Consider the following 25125-nt stretch of genomic DNA (forward strand, 5'->3'; position numbering starts at 1 on the left):
ATTTTTAAGTGTAGTTTTGCTTTCCTCAATGACCATGTAAAGTAGGCTTTTGCAGTGAGCATCTGAGCTTCAGCTTTCTCCCAAGGGCATACGGCTCTGTTTAAGAGGCTAGCCAAATAAGCACACAGTAGACATGATTCTGATAACCAGAGTCAGAGGAAACCAATGAGGCACAAGCCTGGTTCAGGGGCATCTCAGCTCCTCTCATGGACAGATCCTAGCATCCAGCCACAGGAAGCCTTCTCTCCCCTGGGCCCACACATGTTACTCCTGACCCAGATTGTTGGGTCTGTCCTCGCCCCAGAATGTCCCATCAGCTCCTGGAATCTGCTGCCCAGCACGGGCAAAGCTTTTCCATTTGGGAGAAGGTAAAGACCACCCTCCCTAAGCTGCTGGGCAAGTAGCAGAGGTTCTGGCCAGAGCTCTGCAGAGTTTCAAGTAAAATAAATACCCATGTCCATGAGTCGATGAAATCACAAGGGGCATCTGGACCTTCACAGCCCAGTGCAGAGAATATTGGGGCAGCCACATCACAACCCAGCTCAAGGAATGAGGATGGAAGGCACAGAGCACAAGACAACGGACTTCTTCATGAGGATCAGAAACAGGTGCATGCATCCCAGCCTCTCTCCAACTCCTCCATCACCCCCTCCTGTTCCCCACCCTCAATGCCCCCTCTCCCTCCTGACCCTTGCTCTCAATGCCTCTCTAGGAGGCCCTGGAATTGCAGCTCCCTCTGAGCCCTGCCCCTCAAATGTTCTCAAGCTTGGCTCCTTCTCATCCACATGTCCCCGCCTCAGAGATGCCACTCCTCACCACACTGTCCCTGTCATTCTCCATCACTGACACCTGCTGATTCCCTGTGCAGAACTTAACTACGCTTGAGACTATCTTGTCTGTCTTGTTGACCACTGTATCCAGCACCTAGCACAGCAAATGGGGCAGAGAGAATGAATGAAATGACAAACAAAAGGAGGAACAGGGTGAAGTCAGGGCAGAGAGAGGAAAAAATGGAAAGGGTCAGTTGGGAGAGGGGGAGGGAAGAAGAGTTGGAGAAGGTGAAACAGAAAAGAAACTGCCTCTTTTATATCCTGGGTGGCCAGAGACTTTTTTATTTCTTATTCTCTTTCCTTTGGAGGCCTATGAAGGGATTACACAGGTTACACTCCATTCATTTCAAATTTACTTGCTCCAAGACTGAGGCCAGAAGAACCTGCCACCAGAAGATAGCCACCAGCTGCCCCTCACCACCTGTCACCAGAGCTGAGCTGCAGGTCATGAGCTGAGGCAGGACCCTGGAACTCCTCTCACAGATGGCTTGGTTCTAGCACCAAAGGAGTCTCAGCAATTAGTTTAATTTGTTGCATTTCTCTTTTTAATTCAGGAAATAGAAACGGACGAATTAGCTACACTTGTATGACTTTAATACCTGACAGCTTTGTAGCCATCACTTTTCCATCTAGGGCCTTCTGAGGCTCCTAAGTCTTAATAAAATAAAGAAATAAATAAAATCTTCAGAAGGAATGCAGAGAACATGGTGGGATGGGCATGAGATTAGGTGATGGACTACCGTGGTGCCAGGGTGCCGAGAGGAGGCTGTCTCACCAAGGGGCAGAAAACAGATGTGAGCCAGGCTGGCATCTAAGGAGGCCCCTGCAGGACCACAGAGAAATACTGCACAGGGAAGATGCAAGCTGTGTCTCTGCTAGATAAGGCCTTTCAAAGTACATCTTGGTAATTGAAAACAAAATGAATGTGGTATTGCTACAAGACAGGCAGTAACAAAATACAGTGCTCCATCCTGATAAGCCATGAGAAACGAAGTCTTCTAAAGGGGCAGAAGCGGGAAAGGCAGCGTATCGAAACAAATTCCCTTTGAGACCAAATTTATCTGTGCCACAGAATAGAGATGGTTATTGGGAATCCAAAAAAATTCCTGTCCTCACAAGCACAAAGCCTTCTGAAAATCCTGATCTGGAGGTGGGACAGCTGAATAGACTTGAGTCACCCCGTCTTTAACAACTCTCAGTCCCATATCCCCCTTCAGATATTTTCCTCTCTCATTGTCCTTTCACAGCCAACCTTCTTGAAGGAGTTGGTGGAGAAGTAGTACTGCTGATCATTGAGATAATGTACATGATCAGTACATGATCACAGAGATATGCTAAGTTGAGCAGAACACTTTTATGAGCCACCCTTCCCTTTGCATAGGCCCGTTTGGGGTATAGGGGGATTGCATCAATGGCTAGACAGTGACATAAGGGCTAGGACTGCTCCTGCTCAGCCATCTGTTTTGGATTTCATCCACTGTCACCAGCATTGTCTTGGAAGGACTCAATTCCACTCAAAGAAAACATCTTCAAAGCCCTGGACCAAACTGGACAAGATAACATCAGTAACTTTCCTCTAGCTTCACAAGGCAATGGGAAGGGGACAGAAGACATGGGGCTTAGGAGGACATAACAGTTATTGTGTCTTTATGAAATTTCATTTGCTGGGTTGGATTTATATAAGGGCTATCTGACCCAAGTGGAGCCAAGACTTCCAGTCTGTGAGCCAGGTGTTCTCTGCACTCCTTTCAATTATCTCAGGATTCCCAAACGTCCAGCCTGGGAGGCACAAGGCAGTGAGCTAGGTGCTGGTCTCCATCCAGTGTATAGCTACTGTCTTCACTGCCTCGCTTCCTCCCCTTGGCTTCCCTCCCTGTCACTCCACTTCACAAAACTGTTCTCACCAGAGGACCAATGACCTCCAGGCCATTAACTCCAAAGGCCACATCAACATCTTCATCTGGCCTGGCTCTCAGAGCCCCTTGGCCCCTGATCATGTCTCCCTCCCTCCTGAATGTGTTACTCCCTGTAGTTTCTGTGATATTGTGACATTGCCCCATCCAGTCCACGTCCCACCTCTCTGGCAGCTCCTTGGTCTCTTTGTAAACTCTCATCCCTCTTGTTATTCCTTATGCTTTGCTGTTCCTTGGGGTCCTGCCCTAGGTTATCCCTCTGTCCCACTCCCTGAAAGGATAATGCAGCATGCCGCCCACTCCATGGCTACAAATACCAGCCTCATGCTGACGACTCCCAGACATTTCTCTAGGCCCGACCTCAACCCTGAGCTCCAGGCTCATCTGTCAGCAGCCTGCTTCTCCTCCTCCCCAGGGTGATTCACTGGAAACAGAGCAGCAAGCTGGGGCCAGTGTTTACCTCATGCTTTCTCTTTCTGTGTTCATGTCTTCTTTCTACATTCCTTATCTAGTTAACAAAGCCAGAAACTTAGTCATTTAGAGTGTTGTCCTTTCTCTCCCCACATCTCAATTCACCCTTCTACCCTCTAGTTACCACTCCAATCAGACCCCTTCTCCAGCAACCTATCATAATTTCTCATCTATAGCAAATACCTCCTTACTGAGGTGTTCCTGGGTTCAAGCTTAATCTCCCTCCCATTTGCCATTGTTATCTACCCCCAACGCAACTGTAACTCATACATGTATGGAGTACCCAGCGTGTACCAGGCACTGTGCTGGGCACTATGGACACAACGGTACGCTCACTCTAGGCATGCTCCTGGTGGCTGTCACTGCTAAACAAGACAGGAACCATTAAAATTCAATATGTTAATAGGAGAAATCTGTGTATAGTTATGTGGGAGCCTAAAAAAGAGAATGATAAAGCTGTTCAGGTCACTTCCCCTCAGCAACTCTCAGTGATTTCCCTGCAGATGCCCTCAAAAAGCTACCAGTAGTGGTGTTCTGACACATGGAAGGGTTATGATCCATTATGAGATAGCCAAGTAATTAGTTAGCATAAATTAGTGGAAGTAACAATGGCTCAAGAACGGGAGTTTTTAGAAGGTTATCCTTCCACCCCTTGGAGCAAATATAAGGTTGTCTGATAAGAACACATCTCTTGCTTAGCAGCAGTGTAGAGAAGAGGAGTTACAATCCTATTAGGTGAGCATCAGCCCAGGCAAGTCCACAGGACATCCTGAGTCAGGTGAATCATGGCAGAAGAAAGGTTGGGAGCTCTTACTATGCTATCCAAGATCCCACGTATGTGGCCCCATTCTTCCCTATCTTACACCTGCCCCCAACTTGCCGCTTGCTCCAGCCACACGTGGCCACCACTTTCTGCCTATACAGCATATCTTATCTTATGGCGCTTTGCTTATTGAACTTCTCAGATCTTGCATTTTTTACTCATTGAAGGTTTGTGGCAACCTGAGTTGAGCAAGTCTATTGGCATCATTTTTCAAACAGCATGTGCTCACTTTGTGTCTCTGTGTCACATCTTGGTAATTCTTGAAATATTTTAAACTTTGTCATTATCATTATATGTATTAGGGTGCTCTGTGATCAGTGATCTTTGATGTTACTATTGTATTTGTCTTGGGGCACTATGAACCACATGTATATGAGATGGTGAACTTCATCAACAAATGTTTTATGTGTTCTGACTGGTCCGTTGACTGGCTCCTCCCCCATCTGTTTTCCTCTCCTCAGGCCTCCCTATTCTCTAAGATAAAACAATATTGAAATTCGGCCAATTAATAACACTACAATGGGCTGTAAGTGTTCAAGTGAAAGGAAAAGTCCAACATCTCTCACTTTAAATCAAAAGCTATAAATGATTAAACTTGGTGAAGAAAGCATGTCGAAAGCCGAGACAGGCTAAAAGCTAGGCATCTTGTGCCAAACATTTAGCCAAGTTGTGAATACAAAGGAAAAATGATTGAAGGAAATTAAAAGTGCTACTCCAGTGAACACACAAATTACAGAAAACCGAAACAGCCTTATTGCTGGTATAGAGAAAGTTTCAGTGCTCTAGATAGAAAATCAAACCAGTCAAAACCTTCCTTAAGCCAAAACCTAGTCCAGAGCAAGGCCCTAATTCTCTTCAATTCTTTGAAGGCTGAGAAAGATGAGGACATTTCAAAAGAAAAGTTTGAAGCTAGCAGATATTGGTTCATGAAGTTTAAAGAAAGAAGCCATCTCCATAACACAAAAGTGCAAGGTGAAGCAACAAGTGGTGATGGAGAAGCTGCAAGTTATCCAGAAGATCTAGCTAAGAGAATTGGTGAAGGTGGCTACACTCAACAGCAGATTTTCAATGCAGGCAAAACAACTTTCTATTGGAAGAAGAAGCCATGTTGGACTTTCATAGCTAGAAAGGAGAAGTCAATGCCTGGCTTCCAAGCTTCAAAGGACAGGCTGACCCTCTCATTAGGAGCCAATGCAGCTGGTAACTTTAAGTTGAAGCCAGTGCTCATTTACCATTCCAGAAATCATAGGGCCTTTAGGAATGACACTAAAGCTACTCTGCCTGTACTCTAAAAATGGAACAACGAAGCTCAGATGACAGCACATCTGTTTACAGCATGGTTTACTATGTATATTAAACTCACGGTTACGATACCTACCACTCAGAAAAAAAGATCCCTTTGAAATAATACTGCTCATTCACAATGCATCTGGTCATTCAAGAGCTCTGATGAAAATATATAGGAGATTAATGTTGTGTTCAGGTCTGCTAATACAACACCCTTTTTGTAGGCCACGGATCAAGAGGTAATTTGACTTTCAAGCCTTATTATTTAAGAAATATATTTCATAAGGCTATAGTTACCATAGATATTGATTCTCCTGATGGATCTGGGCAAAGTAAATTGAAAACCTTCCGAAAATGATTCATAAGTCTATATGCCATTAAATACATTAGTGATTTACGGGAGGAAGTAAAAATACCAACATTAACAGATATTTGGAAGAAGTTGACTCTAATGCTCATGGGCGACTTTGAGGGGTACAAGACTTCATAATAGGAAGTAACTACAGATGTGGAGGAAATAGCAAGAGAACTAGAAGTGCAGCCTGAAGATGTGGCTGAATTACTATAATTTCTTAATAAAACTTGAACAGATGAGGAGTTGCTTCCTATGGATGAGAAAAGAAAGTGGTTTATTGAGATGGAATCTACTGCTGGTGAAGAGGCTGTGAGCATTGTTGAAATGATCACGAAGAATTTAGAATATTCCATAAACTTAGTTGATTAAACAATAGCAGAGTTTGAGAGGATTGACTAATTTTGAAAGAAGTTCTACTGTGGGTAAAACGCCATGAAACAGCACAGCATGCTACAGAGAATTCTTTTGTGAAAGAGTCAATCAATGTAGCAAACTTCATTGTTGTATTATTTTTAAAATCTGCCACAGCCACCCCAACATTTAGCAACCACCAATCTGATCAGTCAGCAGCCATCAACACTGAAGCAAGACCCTCCACTAGCAAAAAGACAATGACTCTCTGAAGGTTCAGATGATGGTTAGCATTTTTTAGCAATAAAATATTTTTAAATTAAGGTATGTACATTGATTTTTAAGATATAATCCTACTGCTTGGAATAGTGTAAATATAACTTTTATATGCACTGGGAAGTAAAAAATGTGTGTGACTCACTTTATTGCAATATTCACTTTAGTGGAATGGTTTGGAACCAAACCCACAGTATCTCTAAGGTATGCCTGTACTCTGTGCTCCCTAAACTTTGGAATCTTTGTCATACTGTTCTCCCTCTCCTGAAATCCTTTTCCCACCCTGTCTACCAGCCTTCAGGTCCTTCAGGTCACATGTCACATTTCAGGAAAGCTTGACAAACCACTTGCCTCCCCAGAGCTCCTTTTCATCTGCAGCCTTCCTTCCCATTCCTCCAAGAGACTGAGGTCAAGATGGAGCAGGGCTGCTGTCTAATCCAGACACTGGCAATGAATACAGGTCTATGTATATTTTCTGAGCAAACCAAGGAGAACTCATTTTGAGGTCCACCTGTTTCAGAGCCTTAGGAAATAAGCCTGTCCCAGACAAGGAGAAGCAAGCCTTGAAAGACCTTCCTGTCAGTGTCTACCCTTTGTATCTGGGGATACAGAATGTTCCTGGCTGTCTTCTATTCTCTTCTCCATTAATTCTTCTGTCTTATTTTCCCAGCTAGAAGCTACAGAGGGCCAGAAACAACAGGATATGGGAGAAAGAAGATTCTAACTCTTCTTGGCTGGGATCTTGAGCAAGTTACTTAACCTCTCTGAGTGTTTCCTCTTCTGAAAAATGAGAAACATAAAACATCCCCTCACATGGGTTTTATGAAGAATAAATAAGTTAACACACAGCTTTCAAAGCCCAGAGTAAGTCCTTAGTTAATATGTATCTAACTAATCTTCTCCATTCTCTTTTTTCATAATCTTTGCTAAGCAAACCACAGGATCTCATACCACTGGTTTCCAGAGAAGGCCTGCTGTATGATGGAAATTCTGTATCAGTAGACTCTAAGACACAAACCGTACTCTAGGGTTTAGCTAAGAAGTCTAATGTACTTGGACTTTGAACATAAAAACTTTTGTTTGAAATAAAGTAGATTTCATCCAGTACCTCAAAACCTTCGCATGAATCATAAATTTCTTTTTCAAAACTGCAGTATGTGACCTGTAGTATCAATAGATCAATCATACTTTCCAAATTACAGACAATATCAGTGGCCCATCAGGTAAAACAGGCTTGGAGCTATTTTTTCATAATAGAAAATGGCACATTCTATGTGCCATGTACACCACTGATGACCTTCACTGCCTTTGGCCAAGGTCACTGGAGACGTTAATGTGTGGGGAATAATTTGAAACAATACCTAAAGTCTACTAGTCTTAAAACTAAGGTGCTCAGCTCCAGAAAATTCCCAATGTCTGCATTCTACTTTCCAACAAACTCACCATCTGTCCTTGCGGAAAAGATACAGGAAACAAATAATGAAAAAGTAAGCAGTATGAAAAACAAGCGGCCAGGCGCAGTGGCCGGGTGCAGTGGCTCACACCTGTAATCCTAACACTTTGGGAGGCTGAGGTACGTGGATTGCCTAAGCTCAGGAGTTCAAGACCAGCCTAGTCAACACAGTGAAACCTCGTATCTACTAAAATACAAAAAAAAATTAGCTGGGCGTGGCGGCGTGCACCTGTAGTCCCAGCTACTCGGGAGGCTGAGGCAGGAGAATTGCTTGAACCCGGGAGGTGGAGGTTGAGCCGAGATCACACCACTGCACTCCAGCCTGGGTGACAGAGCAAGACTCTGTCTCAAAAAAAAAAAAAAAAAAAAAAAGAAAAGGAAAACAAGCTCAGAGAGTCTCCTTCCCAGGGCTGTGTGCTGCATGGAGAGACGGAGGGAGGAATGAGTTGTGCAGGAGAGCCTCACACACATGAAAGCCTGGCAAATACCCAGCTCCCAAGACCTGAAGTTCAACACGGCAGAGTCGTGTTATTTGTTAGTCACACACCAAATCCCAGCCACTGCTAGGTGGGAATAAGGAAAGGCATGGAGTTAGCTTACATTAGAAGGATTTTTCCCACTCCTGAGACTGCCTCCCTGGCATCTGCCTGTGTGGGCTGTGCAGTCCCTAGCATGGGCAGGGGCAAACAAGGCCACACTTCCTGCACAGCCTCCTAACCAGGGCACTGAAGGGTTGTAAACAAAGGAGAAACATGATGTGATTCATACTTTGCAAAGATGACACACTATCTATCAACAGAAAGATGGACAAATAAATCATTCTGTACACAATAGACTATGGCCCAGCAGCTAAAGTGAATGAGCTAGAACTGCATGAACCAACAACACGGAAAAACCTCAAGACTATGTCAAGGAAAAAAACAGTGTGATACCATTTGTACGGGGTTTAATATGTGCAAAATAATAGTATGTAATGTTTACTTACAGATCATAGTAAAAACATACACATGGGCATGAAAAATACCAAATTCAGAATTGTAATTACTTCTAGGGAGGCAAGGAGAGAACGAGATCTGGGAAAGATATACTAGGGTCCTCACTGACAAATCTCTGATGTTTTGTTTTTGTAAGTAAAAGCTCTGAAGCTGATAGGGCTGTATTAATGCTGGTAGGTAGATACAAAGTTGCATTTTTAAACAGAGAAGAAAGTATCACCCTGATGTTTGTGTGGCAAAGACTCTGGAGGGGAAGGGGAAAGACTGGAAGAAGTATACCAATTAGGAGACTGCTGCAACTAGGAGGTTTAAGAGGGTCATGTTAAACTAGGAGATCCTAAGAGGTAGAGGAAGGGGTAGACCAATTAGGAGGTTGCTGCAATTAGGAGGTCCAGGCAAGAGACAGTGAGAAGTGAAGAAACCTGGGATATGCCTGGGAGGTGACCCAAAGCCTTGGGGATTGACTGGGACGTTAAGGGGAGGTAGAAAGTGATGGAAGGGGAGAAGGAATTTTGATGTCCAGTTTTCTAGCTATAGTAACTGGGTGATGGAGGCCCTGGAGCAGGCAGAAAGCAGTGGAGAAGAAACATACAGACATTCCAGGGATAGATCAGAACCAACCACCCCCAGCACCATTCTCTAGCAAATTAAGTGAGATACAGAAATCTCCACAGACTCATAATGGGCAGTCACCATAGAATATCACGAGAATTATAAGTCATGCTTGGTGTCCGCCTCTGATGAAATAACCTAATTAAAGAAGGGATGGAAAGGGTAGAGCTGAAGCCCCAAGTAAAGCAGCCAGCCCTTGCTTCATTCTGCCCTCAAACCTTTGGGTACAACTAGCAGAGAAAAATGAGAGGTCTGAATGGTGTCCATGAATACTTGATAGCTCAATATAGCTTTGGGGGTGCAAATGGCTAAGAAACATGAACAGCGTCTGGCTGCCCCAGAGAAGTTACATTAGCGGTAATAACATGGAGGGCTATAGGTACAGGGTGCCGGTAATTTATTTCCCCTTTAAGGATATGTTAGGAAAGGCAGATTTAATAGTGTGGAAATTAGAATGGGTGAGAGATGACGTGGCAATCATGTAGGTAACCTATCAGGCTACCCTAGCCCCAAAATGGCTGGGGTCAGCTCTCCTCCCCTAGAGGCAGCTCTGAAGCCCTCTGAACAGCTTCTTCCCTTCGCCCTAAGAAAAAATATTGCACACCTCACTCTGTTGGGCAGAATGGCGAAGCATTTAATTGCTTATTTAATTCCTGGGCTGCTGGCAGAAGGCAGGGAGAGCCTGGGCCAGCCACTCCAAACAGTATCACCCACAGGTGGAAAAAGAGATGGCTACAATAGCAACTTTTCTTCCTTCATGCTTTGCAGATTCAATAGCTCATCATGAGGGGACAGAGTAGCATGGTGGTCTTGATCACTTTTGTTAATGAGGTATTGACTGTGCTGGGGCCAGGGCATTAGTCAAAGAAGTGAAAGAGCGTTTCAGGGAAAGGGAACAGCTCGTACAAGGGCGCAGGAGTGAGAGAACATGCAGCCTGTTAGCTGAACTGCAGCAATTCAGTTTCCTCAAAGCAGAGTGGCGGGTGGAAAGTGCCAAGAGCTGAGGGTGGGGGGCCAGGCAAGAGCACTGGTCTTTGCTTTCTCAGGACTCGGCCCTGTGCCACGCTATGCTGGGCAGATAGAAGGACGACATGGAAAGCCCTGCCCTCTAGGAGCTGACAGAGCACAGCCAAGTCTTCCTCCCCTCCTCCAACATCCTCCTCTTTCCCGGGCACCAGACTCCTGCTTCCCATACCAGGCCCCACCTGATTTCCTTCTAGGAGGGCAGTGATCACCCCGTGGCTCCACCCTCTACCCCAGAGCATTCAGTGAGCACTCTCCTCTCCAGGTCCACGAAGACTCAGTGAAAGCTCCCATCTGAGCCTCCCATAAGCACCAGCCCTGAGCCGGCAGCTACAAGCCCATTTCTGGTCAGAGCCTTCAGATAAAGGATGCCATCACCATGCACAGTACCACAAAGGACCCTGGTCCTGTCTGGTCAGGCTCCACAGGTTTAACCACAATGAAAACAACGTGCTGAGAGCAGCCACTCTCTCTCTTCAATGTGGTTCTGATTCCCTCCACATCCAACACGTGAGTGAGGGAGAAAGACCAACCAGGCCCCCAATCCCTAATTAAATTCACCACACGGCAAAGGGGTCATCCATCACTTCTTTTGTTTTCTTCTCACTCTAACAATGTAAAATGACCCTCTTAAACCAAACTAAATAAGCTCGTTTGGCCTGTCCTTTTAATGCCCCTTCATTGAAAGCATAGCCAACATATGTAGACAGGTTTCCAACTCCCTCTACTCGCTTCCACTTTGTTTCTCTTTCCAACTTTTAGGAGCCTCTGCCTATTTAGTGGTTTGGCTTCCAGGAAGGCCTCTCTCACAGATACTCACCTGCCACTTTGCCTTGATGGGCAGTGGGCAGTTCACCAGAATCTCATAGACATTTACGAAGATAATTTTAGGGCTGTGGTTTTGCTTAACATTAATTGTTTTTTGAAGATATCTTAACAAAGCATGCAGGCAGCCATAAAATGAGTTCTGAGTTCCAGCGCTGACATCATTACTGCCTCACTAAGCAGAGGAAGATGTGGGAGCTGGGGCAGTGGATGAAGGATGGGGCTTAGGCATGACGGCCACCCTATTTGGCCACAGGCTACAGTAGGCCAGCCTTGAGCTTGGACTGCTGCCAATGTGCATGGCATGATGTGAGGGTGGCCCACAGCTCCAGATTTGGAAACTTTATGTCAGTCATCACCCAGACTACCTACTCCAAGGCAGGTGACTCAGCCCAGGCAGGCTCCTGCAGCAGGAAATGCAAAGATAGGTATGAGTACATGACTGGTTGGCAGCACCAGGGAAACATCCCTCCAGGATGGCTGGAATAGGCTGGGCCAAGCCAGGGATGCAGATGCCAGCCCTCTGGGTAGTAGTAAATATGCAGAATTGTGTGCACCCCACAAGTCTCTTAGAGCTACTGTCACAAAGTATGGCCCCCAGAGTCACTAAGATACCTCATCCTGGGCATGTGGAAGACTGAAAGAGAAGAGAATAACTCTCTCAGGCCACCCAAGAGCACCAGTCAATCAAATTAGCATCTACCATGTGCCCAGGGCAATGCGAAATGCTGTGAAGGATCTCAAGAAATAGAAGACCCACTTTTGCTACCCATTACCTCATAGATCATTGCCTCAGGCCCTCTGACACCCCTCACCTATTCTGAGTCCATCTACGTGCCACCATCTCCAGCACCAGCTCCTTTCTAGTGCAACCTAAGACTAATGTACAGCAACAGTCTCCCAACTGCAGACTCCAAACCCCAGCTCTCCCTGCCCAAACCATTCCCCACATGGCAGCCAGAGAGCACTTTTCATAACATAAATCTGTCGCCTAGCCCTCTGCATCTGCCTGAAAACCTTTCGGTGGGTTCCCATTGCTGCTAGGATGAGGACAGTACTCCACAAGGTGCATGGCCCTGGGCCATCTGGCTTCAGCTGGTCCCTCTGTGGCATCTCACCAGGCTTTCCTTACTCTCTGCAAGTGGTCTTCTTTGACCCCCTCCCATCCACTGCCTTCCATCACAGAGTATTTAAACATGTGATGCCACTGGCTGCAATGCTATTCCTTCTCTGCTTTAACCTATTTAGCTCCTTCAAGTCTCAGCTCGAATGCCACTTCCTCAAGGAAGCATTCCCTGACTGCCTCCAACTATATCAGATCTTGCTTTTATAAACTTCTGGAGCACTGTGTGCCTCTACTTGACACATATCACTGTTTAAAATTTACATTTATTTATGTGATCATTTGGTTAATGTTTCCCACTGAACTATAAGCTCCTGGAGGGCAAGAATTGTGCTTGTCTTTATCATCATGTGACCAGTACTCTTCAGGGTGCCCCCTGCACAATATGAGCTTAGTAAATATTTGTTGAATCAGAAAATCCTGGCATCAAAGGGCTTGCAATAGCTGGTCTAGTTTCATGAGAGGATCCATATCTAGCTTCAATTAAATTGACATTCAGCAAAGAAAATAACCTAGTCACCCCGGAGCTGTTGAAGAAATCCAGGCAAAGAGGTTGACCAAAGTCCCCTATGTGCCAGGATACCCACCTGAGGACCATCACCTTAATCTTGACAACACGATCAGGATCTTACACTCTTTGGATGACTGTGGAGGCTCACTGATTCTGCGAAGACTCCAGAATTCATTTAGACATGAATCTCTGCATTCATACAACCAAAACCTGCTCTGGAACTCATATGTCCAGGAGCTTCAGGGCCCTCTCACATCAGAACAAATGACTGTCCTGAGTAAGCTGCTGGCACCTGCTTGTTTTGCACCATTAAAAAGATGTGGCTGAGGAAGATCGAGATACTCTGGGAGATGAGGGATGAGGGAGCAGAACTATGAATTCTGCTTTGAAAGGAAGCAGAACTATGAATTCCAGCTCTGCAGTGCACTGGCTATGTGACCGTGGACAAGTCACTGTGCCACTCTGGGCCAGTTTTCCCATGCACAACAAGGTCAGGTTAAGAATCACAATATCTACCTGCCAAGGCTGCATGAGGATTAAATAAGATAATGTGTGTGACATGCCTGCCACAGGAAATTCAAATTCTAGTTTCCATTAGAAGAGAAAAATCTTCATACTAAGAATAAAATTTGGTAACACATTGTATTCCTTTAAAAATTTTTTTAAGTTTCTTTTTTTCTGATTCATCACAGTAATACATTTTAATTGAGACGTAATGTGGAATAGGAGATAAGAAGCCATTAAATGGGTTCAAATCTAGTTCCACTTCCTAACAGCTGTTTGACCATGGGCAAGTTACTTACCTACCAGAGTTCAGTCTCTACATTTACTAAATGGCTATGATAGTATTTCCCAATTTATATCCTAGTTGTAGAAATTAAACAAGACAATCTATATAAAGTACCTGATACAGTGCCTGACACACTGTGAGGACTAAGTAAATATTACAATCATCCTCCTCACTGCTACTGGTAAAACTTCTTAAAGTCAGAATTGTACAAAAATAAGAAAGGCAAATAATTTGTAATACCACCCCCCTATAGACATAATAGAGTGTTTTTTTCGTTATATTGACATCAGTATTTTTCTGTTATGAAATTGGGGTCATGTGATATAAACTTTGTCATATTCTGACCTTTTCACTTTTTTATGTCATAATTGTTGTTTAAAAACAAATGTAAAAAAGTTTCACATATTCTATTCTATAAAAGTATCAAAATTAATCCATCATAACAGTTCACCAACAAATGTTTCATTAAATGTTGGTTTTATAAATAATGCTGCAATGAATGCATTTCTGCATATGTCCTTGTCCTAATTTCATTTCCTTAGAAGAGACTCTGAAAGGATAAATTACTGTTTAACAAAACATATGTATTTTTTAAAATTCTCAATATATGGCTAACTGCTTTCCAGAATTTATACCTCCATGCTTTCTAGCATAGTGCTTGCCATATTGACGGGCTGGATAAACAGCTATCAAAGGGAGAAAGGAAAGTAAGCACTATCTTTTCAAAAAATACTGGCTAATAACAGAAAGATTGTTTCTTGTTGCATTTTTCACTTCTTTGAATGCTAATGAAGTTAAACTTTTTCATGCTAATTGTTTATCTACAGTCTACGAAATTTTTTGCTCATCTCTGTCTATTTACTAGTAAGACTTTAATACTTTTATTAATTTGTAAATGCTTTTTATATAGTATGGCTAGCATCTCCTTGACTTATTTGTGGCAACGTTTTTCTTAATTTGATTGGCGTGTTGTTTGATTTTTGACAGGTTTTAATTTTAGTGTATCCAAACTTGTTTTAAGATTATTGTCTTTATGGTTAGATGAAAACTCAACCATGTCTTCTATTACGTGTTCTAAATTTTTATACATAACTCTTCTGAATAAATACTAAACGACTGAATAAATGTATTTTGGTGGGTAGCATGGAATGCTACGTTAAAGCATTTGCAAAATCTACCTTAAAGTATCTGCAAAATCTCCCAGCACCATCAAGAGAACAATCCTTTATGTGATGCTGCCATAACCGTTTGTCAAAGACCTACCAATGACTATCAGGATTTATTTATGACTTGTGGATTCTAGTTCACTGTTCTGTCCATTAACTTTTTCACTGTTTACTGAGCTTTTAAGGAGGAAAAATTCATCTTCCTCAGAGTCTGAGTCAGTGGATTCTGTCACATTGTGACCCAGGAGAACACAGGGTGCTGCCACCTTATTGCGATGACAGCCACCTGTCTTAGAACCAGCCCACACGTTGACACAATGAACCCTGTGTTCAGAAGAACATGGCATCAGTCTGACACATGCCTCCAATATCATCAATACCACTCAGGCCAGCAATGACCCTCCTTCACCTCATGGATTCCCATCTCAGCTGTGGTTTTTGTTCTCTGCGTAGTTTCTCTTAAGTTCGGGCTGGTTAGAAAAGAGCCTCCTGGGTTGCATGAGTCACAACAGACCTAGTTTTGAGCACAAAGTTGACGAGGATGGTGCTCACCTCTCTGTGGCCGCTACTGAAACCTCATGAGCTCTGAGTCCTTGCTTTACCTGACCCATCAGCTGCATTAAACCCCAATGATCTCCTCCTCCTCCTTGAACATTTATTTTGCTTCTAGGACACCACATTCTCATGAGTTTCCTCCCCCTTTCGAGCAATTTCCTCTCAGCCTCTTCTTCTACTGTCTTCTCATTTTTCCAACTTCAGAATGTCAGAGAACCCAGTTTTTAGTCATTAGGCCCCTGCTTCTCTGCCTAGGTGATGCATCTCATGGTGCTAAATACCAACTACAAGCTGATGACTCCCAAAGCTTTTACATGCCCAACCTGGGTCCCTCCCCTGACATTCAGACCACTAGACTCAACCATCAACACAGAAGCCTCTAACGCATCCTGATATGAACACCCATCCTTCCCTGAAAATCAGCACTTCCTGCTGCCAGCCCCCTCTAGACTCCAGCAGCAAACTCACCAAAACATAGCCAGAACTCAGCAGCATCTTCTCGCCTCTGGCATCACCACTCTGGCCCAAGCCCCTAGTGCCCTGAGCCTGCGCTAGAGCAGCAGCCTCTAAGTGGTCTCCCTGCTTCTTCCATTTAGTCTGTGATCCCATGATATCACTCAAAGTGAAGAGTCCTTCTGTATTAGTCATGGCCCCATGGCTTCTCTGTTTTCATTGTCAAATATTTTCCACCCCCTCCACCCTCCACCAGATGTCCCTGTGATTCCTCAGACAGGCCAGATGCACCCTTTTGGGCCTCCGAACCTGCTGCTTCCCTCTCCCCAATGTCCCTGCCTCCTCACTTCATTCTAGTCTTTGCTCATTGGCAGCTTCTCAGTGAGGCCTTTCCCTGGCCCCATCTGAAATATCAAACCTCCTAAAATGAATAAAAAATAAAATGTCAACTCCTCACTTTATACCCCCACTTCCCTGCCTTACTTTTTCTCCTTGACACTTACACTACCAGACTCTGTGTTTTACTGATTTAGCCTGATTGCTGGCTGTCTCCCTCACCAGCATCTATGCTCCAGAAAGGCAGGCATTCCTGTCGGTTTACTGTTGCTAGAACAGTGTTTGGCACATAATAGGTAGGTACTTACTATTCATTCAGTGAATGGGAGTAAATGGATGAATTTACAAATTTGAATCCCTCTTTTTTTCAATTTTAATTTTTTTATTTCCATTTTTTATTTTAAGTTCTGTGATACATGTGCTGAATGTGCAGGTTACATAGGTATACATGTGCCATGGTGGTTTGCTGCACCTATTAACCCACCATCTAGTTTTAAGCCCCTCATGCATTAGGTATTTGTTGGAATCCCTCTTCTATAAACAAGGAAACTGAGGCTTTGAGTAGTTTAAAAACCTCCTGAGGTTGGAATTGGAACCCAGAGCCGATTCTAGAATAAGTCTTCTGTTAATGACACTGTGAGTATGAATTGAAAAGTTGGGCCAGTGACACTGTGAATAGACCCTGATGTACTTAGCAAGCCCCACTCTGTTTTACAACACAGCCGGGGATTTGTCCACTGGCATCTTTAGAATGTGGTTTTCTTGGGGAAAGAAAATAACAACAAAAAGGAAACAATACAGACATCAAGGCAACTGTCCTGTTGAGTTGTCCCAGGAAGGGAAAGGCATCAGCAAGACAATGTCTCACATTGAGTGAAGGATCTGATTGACAGAAAAGGAGAGGAATTAATTCATCAGAACAAAAGAGACCAGAAGGACTGGACCAGCAGAGAAGCATGCTGCCCATCTAGGGGCTCCATGGATGGAATGTTGATTACAAAACAAAACAGTCCTAATAAGATTACAGCTGATAATGAATCCACTACAAAACTCTGGAACGATGTTAGGATTTTAATAAGCATCCCCCAAAGACCATTCAGTCAATTTCACAAATACCCATTCTCATCACTTAATTCTAGTGGGGGAGAAGGACTGCTCTACCTACCTGTTTCCAAATTAATAATGTGCTTCATTCCTGTTATGCTTCAGAAACAAAGCCACCGTAACATTTCCAGCTGTTTGGGGAAGAATTTTAATATTCTCAATGCTAATATAAACAGAACCTTATTAACTAAGTCCCAGAGATGCCCCGTTTGGGATGTAATCCAAGCCCTGGTACCAATGCCAACGTTAACATTTGAAAATACCTCATGTGCATACTTCATTTGAACAATTACAGCAATATAAGCTTTCCTCTAGAAAAATGGAAAGAAAAAGCAAAGATAATGCTGCACCACACTGAGAAAGACTGCTTAATCCCAACTTGGATAATGGCTACAGTAAACGGTACACACTGTCTCTTCTTCATCATTTTCATACCAATACTCTATCAACTCTGAGGGGCCTATACTAAAAATACACCCAGCTCTATTCCATGCAGGGGAAAATAAAATGAGAAAACAAAACCCATGAGACTTAAATGCACATTGAAACTGCACCCCAGCAAGCCACACAACTCTCAGTCCAACCGAGGCCCAGATGTGGCACTGGTACCAAGTCTCCCAGCCCACTAGCTTTGCAGCCTGTGCCTGAACATTCCAACCTACAGGGGTGCTCAAGCCTGCTAAGGAACAATACGTGGCCAACCATCTGAGCAGAGCATGGGCTTTGCATCATTGGATGCAATCATTTCCCAATCATACTGATCCCATTCTTATGACTCGGCCTCTAGGGACATCCCAGACTCATGTAGCTGTAGCAAATCCTCACCACTTCCAATCCCAACACAGGAAAGGCTATGAATAGAATGATGAAAAGGAAAAACTGAAAGAAAGAAGTCATGGGGGAAGGTATGGTTTGTCTACTTGTTCAAAATCTGGACAAAACACTTGCTTGTGAATATACTGCTAATACACAATTTTTTGAATGTTTTTCTTGTGTTGGAAATAGAAACCCAGAAGGTTTCATGCAACATGACAAACCAGAAAAGCCAGACTAATGCCCAGGACAAGCTGGTATTCCACTCCATTTGAGACCTGGTTTTATCCATCCTGATATAGTTGTATGCAGGAATGTACATACACAAATGTACATGATATCAATTTTTGGTGTTCCCAGCATGTATAAATGCCTCCAGGAGAACCAATGAGTAAAAATTGTGTTGAACAGCCCTTAGAGGCTTTCAGTTCAAAAGTCATTTCCTCAGTTTGTAAATGAATTAGTTAGGTGTTCACAGGCTGAAACAGCTCCTTCACTTGAGGAACTCTGATTTGAAAAGGAAAATAACAGCAAAGCATTCTTTTCCTGGAATTAAAAATCAGGTCACAGTAAACTCAAAAATAACTTTGTAAAGGCTAAGGATGGGAATAGAAGAGTTCTTCTATAAATAATCACTAGCATCCATATTCATTGTAAGCCTTTTAAACTCGCTGGACAAGTAGCTTCAGAAAATCTGTGGCTGATCTGAATATGTTACTTTAAGAACATCATACATATTCACGTCCTTGTTGCATTCTAATCAACAAATCAAAGCACTCGACTAATTAAATGTTGATTGCTTGTTGCACAAAGGTGAAAGTCAACCTTCTTAGCCAAGGTTTGGGTTATTCTAACAAATGATGATAGTTCAGCTTTTTCAAGCCATTTTGTGCTTAATGAGTACATTACCCTTAATGAAACTTCATTTAGGCTAATGATTACCTTGGTTTACCAAGTAACTAACTGATGACAGCCTGTCTTTTAATGCTCTAAATGTGGTAACTGACACCATGGACATGAGTAATAGATTTCAAATACTTTTCTGTGCTTGGCCATTGGCAGTCAACAGATGATCTAGTGTGTCCCAGCGCCCAGGTGATGAGCTCAGCCTCATCATCGAGGGAAAAAGTGGCACCTGATATGAGATCTTCACTGATAAGGTTCACGAGAGCTTCAGCATCACCACCCAGGTGTGATGAGAACATTTCCCCAAATTAGGGTGGCAAGGTTAAAGACATGTCACTCATCTCATGAAGTGAAAAAGGCGATGAATGGCTCCAGGCCTAAGCAGCTTATCATTAACTCCCTGGGGAAGTCCCAGGGAGCTGCTTCTAATTACCAATGTTCACTATATGATTTCCTTATCATTACTGCTATTTACACTTTTTTTCTTAGGATGACATTACCATGTTTACCTGAAGGGTAATGTGTGCTTTAGCTAAATGAGAAAATCATCTTCTCTCTATAATCCTCGAGAACTTGGCATACGGGGCCACGTAAATGAATTTAAAGTATCTCACCAAGTCATCAACAGAAGTTATTTGCTTTATCCGGCTTACAACTTTTTGATTTATAGGGTGCTTTCTAACGTTGCACATGTAAACAAGAAACTACTTAGATCAGGAGCAATGTCACTCTTGCATAACTGTCTCTACTTCATCAATTAATCAAGCTGATTGGAGGACATTATGGAAAATCCCTCTTAAGTAATGTGGATTAGCAATGTAGATGTGCCACCACTTCCAAAGGGAGGGGAAAAGTTGAATTCTCCCTAAACGTGGAATGTTGGCAACACACAGAGTAACTCTGGATAGTGGATATGCGCTGGGGCTCTGGATTCTGACAGATCTGGATTTGTCCTGTACTCTGCATTTGCTTGGTGGCCTTGGGCTGGTTATCCAACCAGCTCTAGCCTTGTTTTACTCCTCTGTAACGTGGAAATAACTACTCCTAACTCTTGGTCTGTTATGAGGCATCAATCAATATCATGCCTACAAAGTCTTTAGCCCTGGCTTAATAAATGTTAGATGCTAATATTATTTTTTTATTTTGTTCAGAATATTTGTAGTGATATTAAGCCAGTAGCAAAACAGCTTAAAAATAGAAGACAGTTTTGTAAACCTGATGGAACAAAACCTAAAATGCTTCATGCATCCCCACTCTGTGTCTGGGAGAGCGCACTGTCTCAGCAGAAATGACTCAGCTCTGATGGAAAACTGAGGCAGCAGATTGGAAAGAGGGAAACATATCAGTTGGTTTCTAGGACCCTTCAATAAATGGCACCCTCCCCCACCTAATAGTAAAGGTAGAAATCTAAGAGCCAACCTTAAATTCACCTCATTTCTCTCATTCCCTTTGTTCAGCCCATCACCCTGTACCATAGATTCTACCTCTAAAACATACTCCCAAGACTCCCCCTCCTCTCTTGCACTTCTAGCACTTACCCCTAGGGCAAGCTGCAATATTACAAGCAGCTTGTAACTGACCTTCCCACTTCCAACCCCACCAAATGCAGTCTCCATCCAACAGCCAGACTTGTCTGCTTCAAACCCTTGAGCAGCTTCATCCTGCCTTTGGAATAAGGTCCATATCCGAATTGACCTCCACTGACCCCTGCAATCTCATATCCCGCTCTTTTCCCCTCACTGTATATACCCTAGAAGCACTCGCCTCTGCTTCTCGAGCATGCTTAGCTTGTTCCCACCTCAAGGCCATGTGCAAGTTGTTTCGTCTGCATGAAAGGCCAACTCCACCACCCTTTGCTTGGCTGGCTCCCTCTTTGTCAAGATCCAGCTAAAAGATTTTCTCCTAAGAAGTGATAATCCCAATGACTCCAAAGAAGATGATTTATTCCCTATCACCGTACGCCATTTGTTTCTTTACAAGTTTGCTGAAGTTGATGCTCCTTTTGCTTGTTTACCAGTTGATCTCCCCACTAGACTATAGGCTTCACAAGAGCAAGTTCATTCACTGCCATGTTGTCACTGTGTAGCACAGAATTTGGCATGGTACTTGGTAAGAATGAATTATTCAAGCGCTGTCAAGGAGTAAAGTGAGATGTGGATGTTTCTCTACATGGTTTCAGAATGAAAAGAAAAGCCATGAATGGGAAATATGAGGCAGCCTATTGCACGTCAGTGAAAGGAAGCTGTCGTGCTCTCTAAAGAGCTGTGTGCCCTGTGGGTAGTGAGTTTCCTAGGCCTGAGAATGTTCAAGCAGGGACAAGTCAACAGTTTACAGGAAATGAATAATTGGACTACACAACCTGGTAGGTGGCTTTCACCCTATGACTCCATGAGATGAAAAAGGCTCTGCTCTTGGCAGTGATGAATTGTCTGAGTCGGGTGGCAGGAAAGGAGACAGTGGAACTATGCACTTGGGATGCAGTGGCTCTCCCAGCTGCTGCTGTGATTGCAGATGTCCCTGTGACCTCGGATCCTGAAACATGCCTCTTGGACTCAGTTTTAGAGAAGATGCATGATCAAGTCACAGCCACCACTGAAGGTCAAACAACATTTCTTACTTGTTACAAACAGACTGAAGAGCATCTCTGTGCCATAATAGCCTGAGCTGGTCACTGGGGAGAGAAACAGTGGAATTAAAGAAAAAAGGAACATCTAACTGAGTTTTGCATAGCACTTACATGTACTCGGCACAGTTCCAAGCACTCTGTATAAATTAATTCATCTAGTCCTCACCAAAGCCCTATGAGAAAGACCCTATCATTGCCACCACTGAACGGATGAGAACATTTAGACACAAAGAGAGGTCAACATATAATGCCCAAGGTCAAATATCTACAATGGCAAAGCCAGGGTGAGAAGCCAGGCAGGCAGATCAGAAAACACACTGGTAACCCTCACACTATCCTGCAGCACAACGACTCAAAAGCAAGATTCAATATGTATCATTCTTTACAATTCCTCTACAAGAACCATTAGCTGTGCTCAAAAACCTACTTAACATCCTTGTTAAGGCTGCCACACTGGGCTGGATTCCAAGAAGCCAATAATAACCCCTAAGTGGAAGCATACTTAAGTTTAGGTTAAAGAAAAGGGCTTCTGAGAGTGCAAACACAAAGCCACAGAGTGGCCTGAGAATTCCCTCCAAGCCTCTGGAGCTTCATGCCCCCAAGGCCATGCCGGCCTCCTAGGCCACCCACGCTGGGTTCACCTGCCTATCTCTACCCAGCTTTCAAGTTATAGGAGCCTGCCAAACACGGAAAGAGAAACAAGAGTCCTTAGCATATGAAAAAGCCAACAAGGTGAAATTATTTTAGAAGCGTACATGACTGAATGGGAGAAGCCAGGGCCATGACTCAGTGGAATTTTTCACCCTGCAATTTACTAGCAGAGGCACAAGAAGCAAGAGACTTGCCCCACCGTGTGTCTGTTTCTTCACTTATATCAACCAACTGCTCCTTAGGGCTCCTGTGAGGTATCAGTAGATGTATTTAGGAAATGCTAATTGTAATTCTACAAATTAAAGTTGCTTTTAATATGTTACAACCAGCATATTTAATTCAAACAGGAGAAACTTCACATAAATATCATCATAGCTGACATTTATTAAGCATTATCTATGTTCCAGGCAACATCTTATGCGATGTATTTGGGCTGTTTGATTTAATCCTCAAATGCTCCATAAAGACAGGACAAGTATCAAGTCCATTTTACAGTCAAGGAAACTGAGAACCAGAGAGATTTAAAGACTTGTCAAAGGGACACGATGATGATGAAGTGGCAGACCCCAGATTTGAAATCAGCCAGGTGATTCCAGAGGCCACATGCTGAACCACAGAGGCACCAGCCTGTGAAGAATATGAGAGTAAGGCATGCTTGCCCCTGGAATGTGTACATAAATATACCTATATATAAAAGTGCAGTCCTTGGCCCTGAGTAACAGATTTTCCCAGCTCCAGTCTCAGGTCTCCAGAATGTCCTCTTGCCCAGGTCCTCTGGTATCCAGGTACAGAACCCCGAGCAGCCTGTCTGATGAGTTCCTTCCACGCCTGTCACCAGCCGGCACTGCTATCACTCTGCCAAGGTCACTGACAACCCCAGCTGCCCAGAATGAGCACCTGCAGGCCTGGAACAGGCCCACCAGCAGGGAGCCTTTTCAGTGGGGGGCTGTTCTAAGTTGGAACCAACACACAAGCACCTGCATTCTCTTGATTTAGTATTATGTAGTAGAAGGGATGGTGAATAAATGATTTACAGGTGCACATATATTTCCTCCATGAATTTTTTCAATCAAACTTTTTCTAACTGCAGGAAGAGGTATAGGCTTCAGTTGCAACACTGCCCTGGGTTTCCATATGCTTTACCTGCAGGTAACAATAGGTCCCCTGGGTTGCCTCCTCTGCCAGTGTGAGATGGTAAATGGAGACACCACTGTGGGTGGACTTAATAGAGCCCTGTAGCAGGAACAGAGACAGTGGAGGAGGTGGCAATATGACTCAGGGACAAAAGACAGGGGTCAGGAACCAATATTTACCGAGCACATGTGATGTGCTGGGCCCTGTGCTAGATGCTTCTGGGGTGCTGGAGGGTTAAATAAGAGGATGCATGTAAAGTCTCAGCCCCGAGCCTGCTCTGCTCATGCTCCACAAATGCTACTTGTGGTTCCTGTGATTTACTATTGCCATTGGTTATTATTTTTAATTAGTATCATACCCTATGAGTCCACAATCCTACACGGTTTACAATCAGAGCACAGCTCATTCATTTATCAACTTAAAAAATCAGAAATTTCATCCTTTACTCTCCCTGGAAGGCATTTTAAAAGGTTCTAAACATACAATCCCCAGCAACATTAATCAAAATCCCTCCCTCTCCCATTCATCTCCCTCACACCCACAAAAGAGCCAGCCTCACTATGAGCACTCCCAAAATAATCCCAATTTAAATGTCTTTTTCTCTTTGCCCCCAATTATTTTGACTGGCTTAACCTCTCTCCCAACCAGAAAAACATTATTTTTTTCTATTTACGAGTAGAAGGAGAGAAAAACAAAAAAAGGCTGGCAATTACAGGATTCTCTTTGTTGGATGGCAGAGCAGGGAGCTCTGTGGATATGCTCATATCAATAACTTTTGCCCCAGAATTATTATAATATGGATGACTGTGTGAACTGGAGGATGTTGTCCTTGTTTTTAGAGATGAGGAGATGAAGCCTGAGAGGTGTTAAGAAAGGCCACACAACTCATAGATGGGAGAAAGACTGAATTCTGCTTCCCTAAAGAGACCACGCCATCCAAAACACCATTTCATATCTGAAATTCAGTGGATTGGATAAAGAAAATGTGGTACATATACACCATGAAATACTATGCAGCTCTTAAAAAGAATGAAATCACATATTTTGCAGCAACATGGATGCAGCTGGAGGCCACTATCCTAAGCAAATTAATGCAGGAAGAGAAAACCAAATACTGCATGTTCTCACTTATAAGTGGGGGCTAAACAGTGGGTACTCATGGATGCAAAGATGGCAACAATAGACAGTGGAGACAGCTACAGGTGGGAGGGAGGAAATGGGGCAAGGACCCATAAATGAACTATTGGATACTATACTCAGTACCTGGGTGATGGGATCAGGTGTACCCCAAACCTCAGCATCACACAGTATACCCAGGTAACAAACCTGCACATGTACCCCCTGAATCTAAAATAAAAGTTGAAATTATTTTAAAAAAATAAAACTAAGCAGAATTCTAGTTTTATGGAGTAAAGGAAGGAACACAGAATGTGGAGTTAGCTCTGTCTGACTGTAAAACCCAGTTTCATTCCTTCTTGATGAAACAATCACCAATCAGCAAGTCTCCTAGCCCCTTTTGACCTCCATTTCCTCATTTGTAGAACTGGGATAATTAAGTGCTTGTTTTATAGGAGTGTTGTAAGAATTCAAAGAACACACTCAACAAATGTTATTTCCACCCTTCAACCTAATGAGACATCTTTTTAAAAAATTTCTGTATGTAGCCTCTTGAATGTGGCAGCAACAATCTTTCTCCCTTTCAATATCAAATCCCACACCATGGTAGGAATTACCCACAAAGAC

General features: G+C 43.4%; 1 protein-coding gene across 1 annotated transcript in view, besides 1 other annotated feature; it reads right to left on the reverse strand.

Annotated features, from left to right (window-relative positions):
* The window catches only part of SPOCK1 (SPARC (osteonectin), cwcv and kazal like domains proteoglycan 1), a 524029-nt gene that overhangs the window by 208827 nt on the left and 290077 nt on the right, over window positions 1-25125 (reverse strand). The gene's annotated exons all lie outside the window — the stretch shown is intronic.
* Window positions 16661-17312: an enhancer, noted in NCBI's record as "OCT4-NANOG hESC enhancer chr5:136536474-136537125 (GRCh37/hg19 assembly coordinates)". NCBI's record gives its function as "activates a minimal SCP1, AML or CMV promoter by ChIP-STARR-seq in naive and primed H9 embryonic stem cells {active_cell/tissue: H9 hESC(naive and primed)}" and the evidence as "EXISTENCE:reporter gene assay evidence [ECO:0000049][PMID:30033119]".

The sequence above is a fragment of the Homo sapiens genome, chromosome 5 (genome assembly GCF_000001405.40).
Source record: "Homo sapiens chromosome 5, GRCh38.p14 Primary Assembly".
Taxonomy (NCBI): Eukaryota; Metazoa; Chordata; class Mammalia; order Primates; family Hominidae; genus Homo; species Homo sapiens.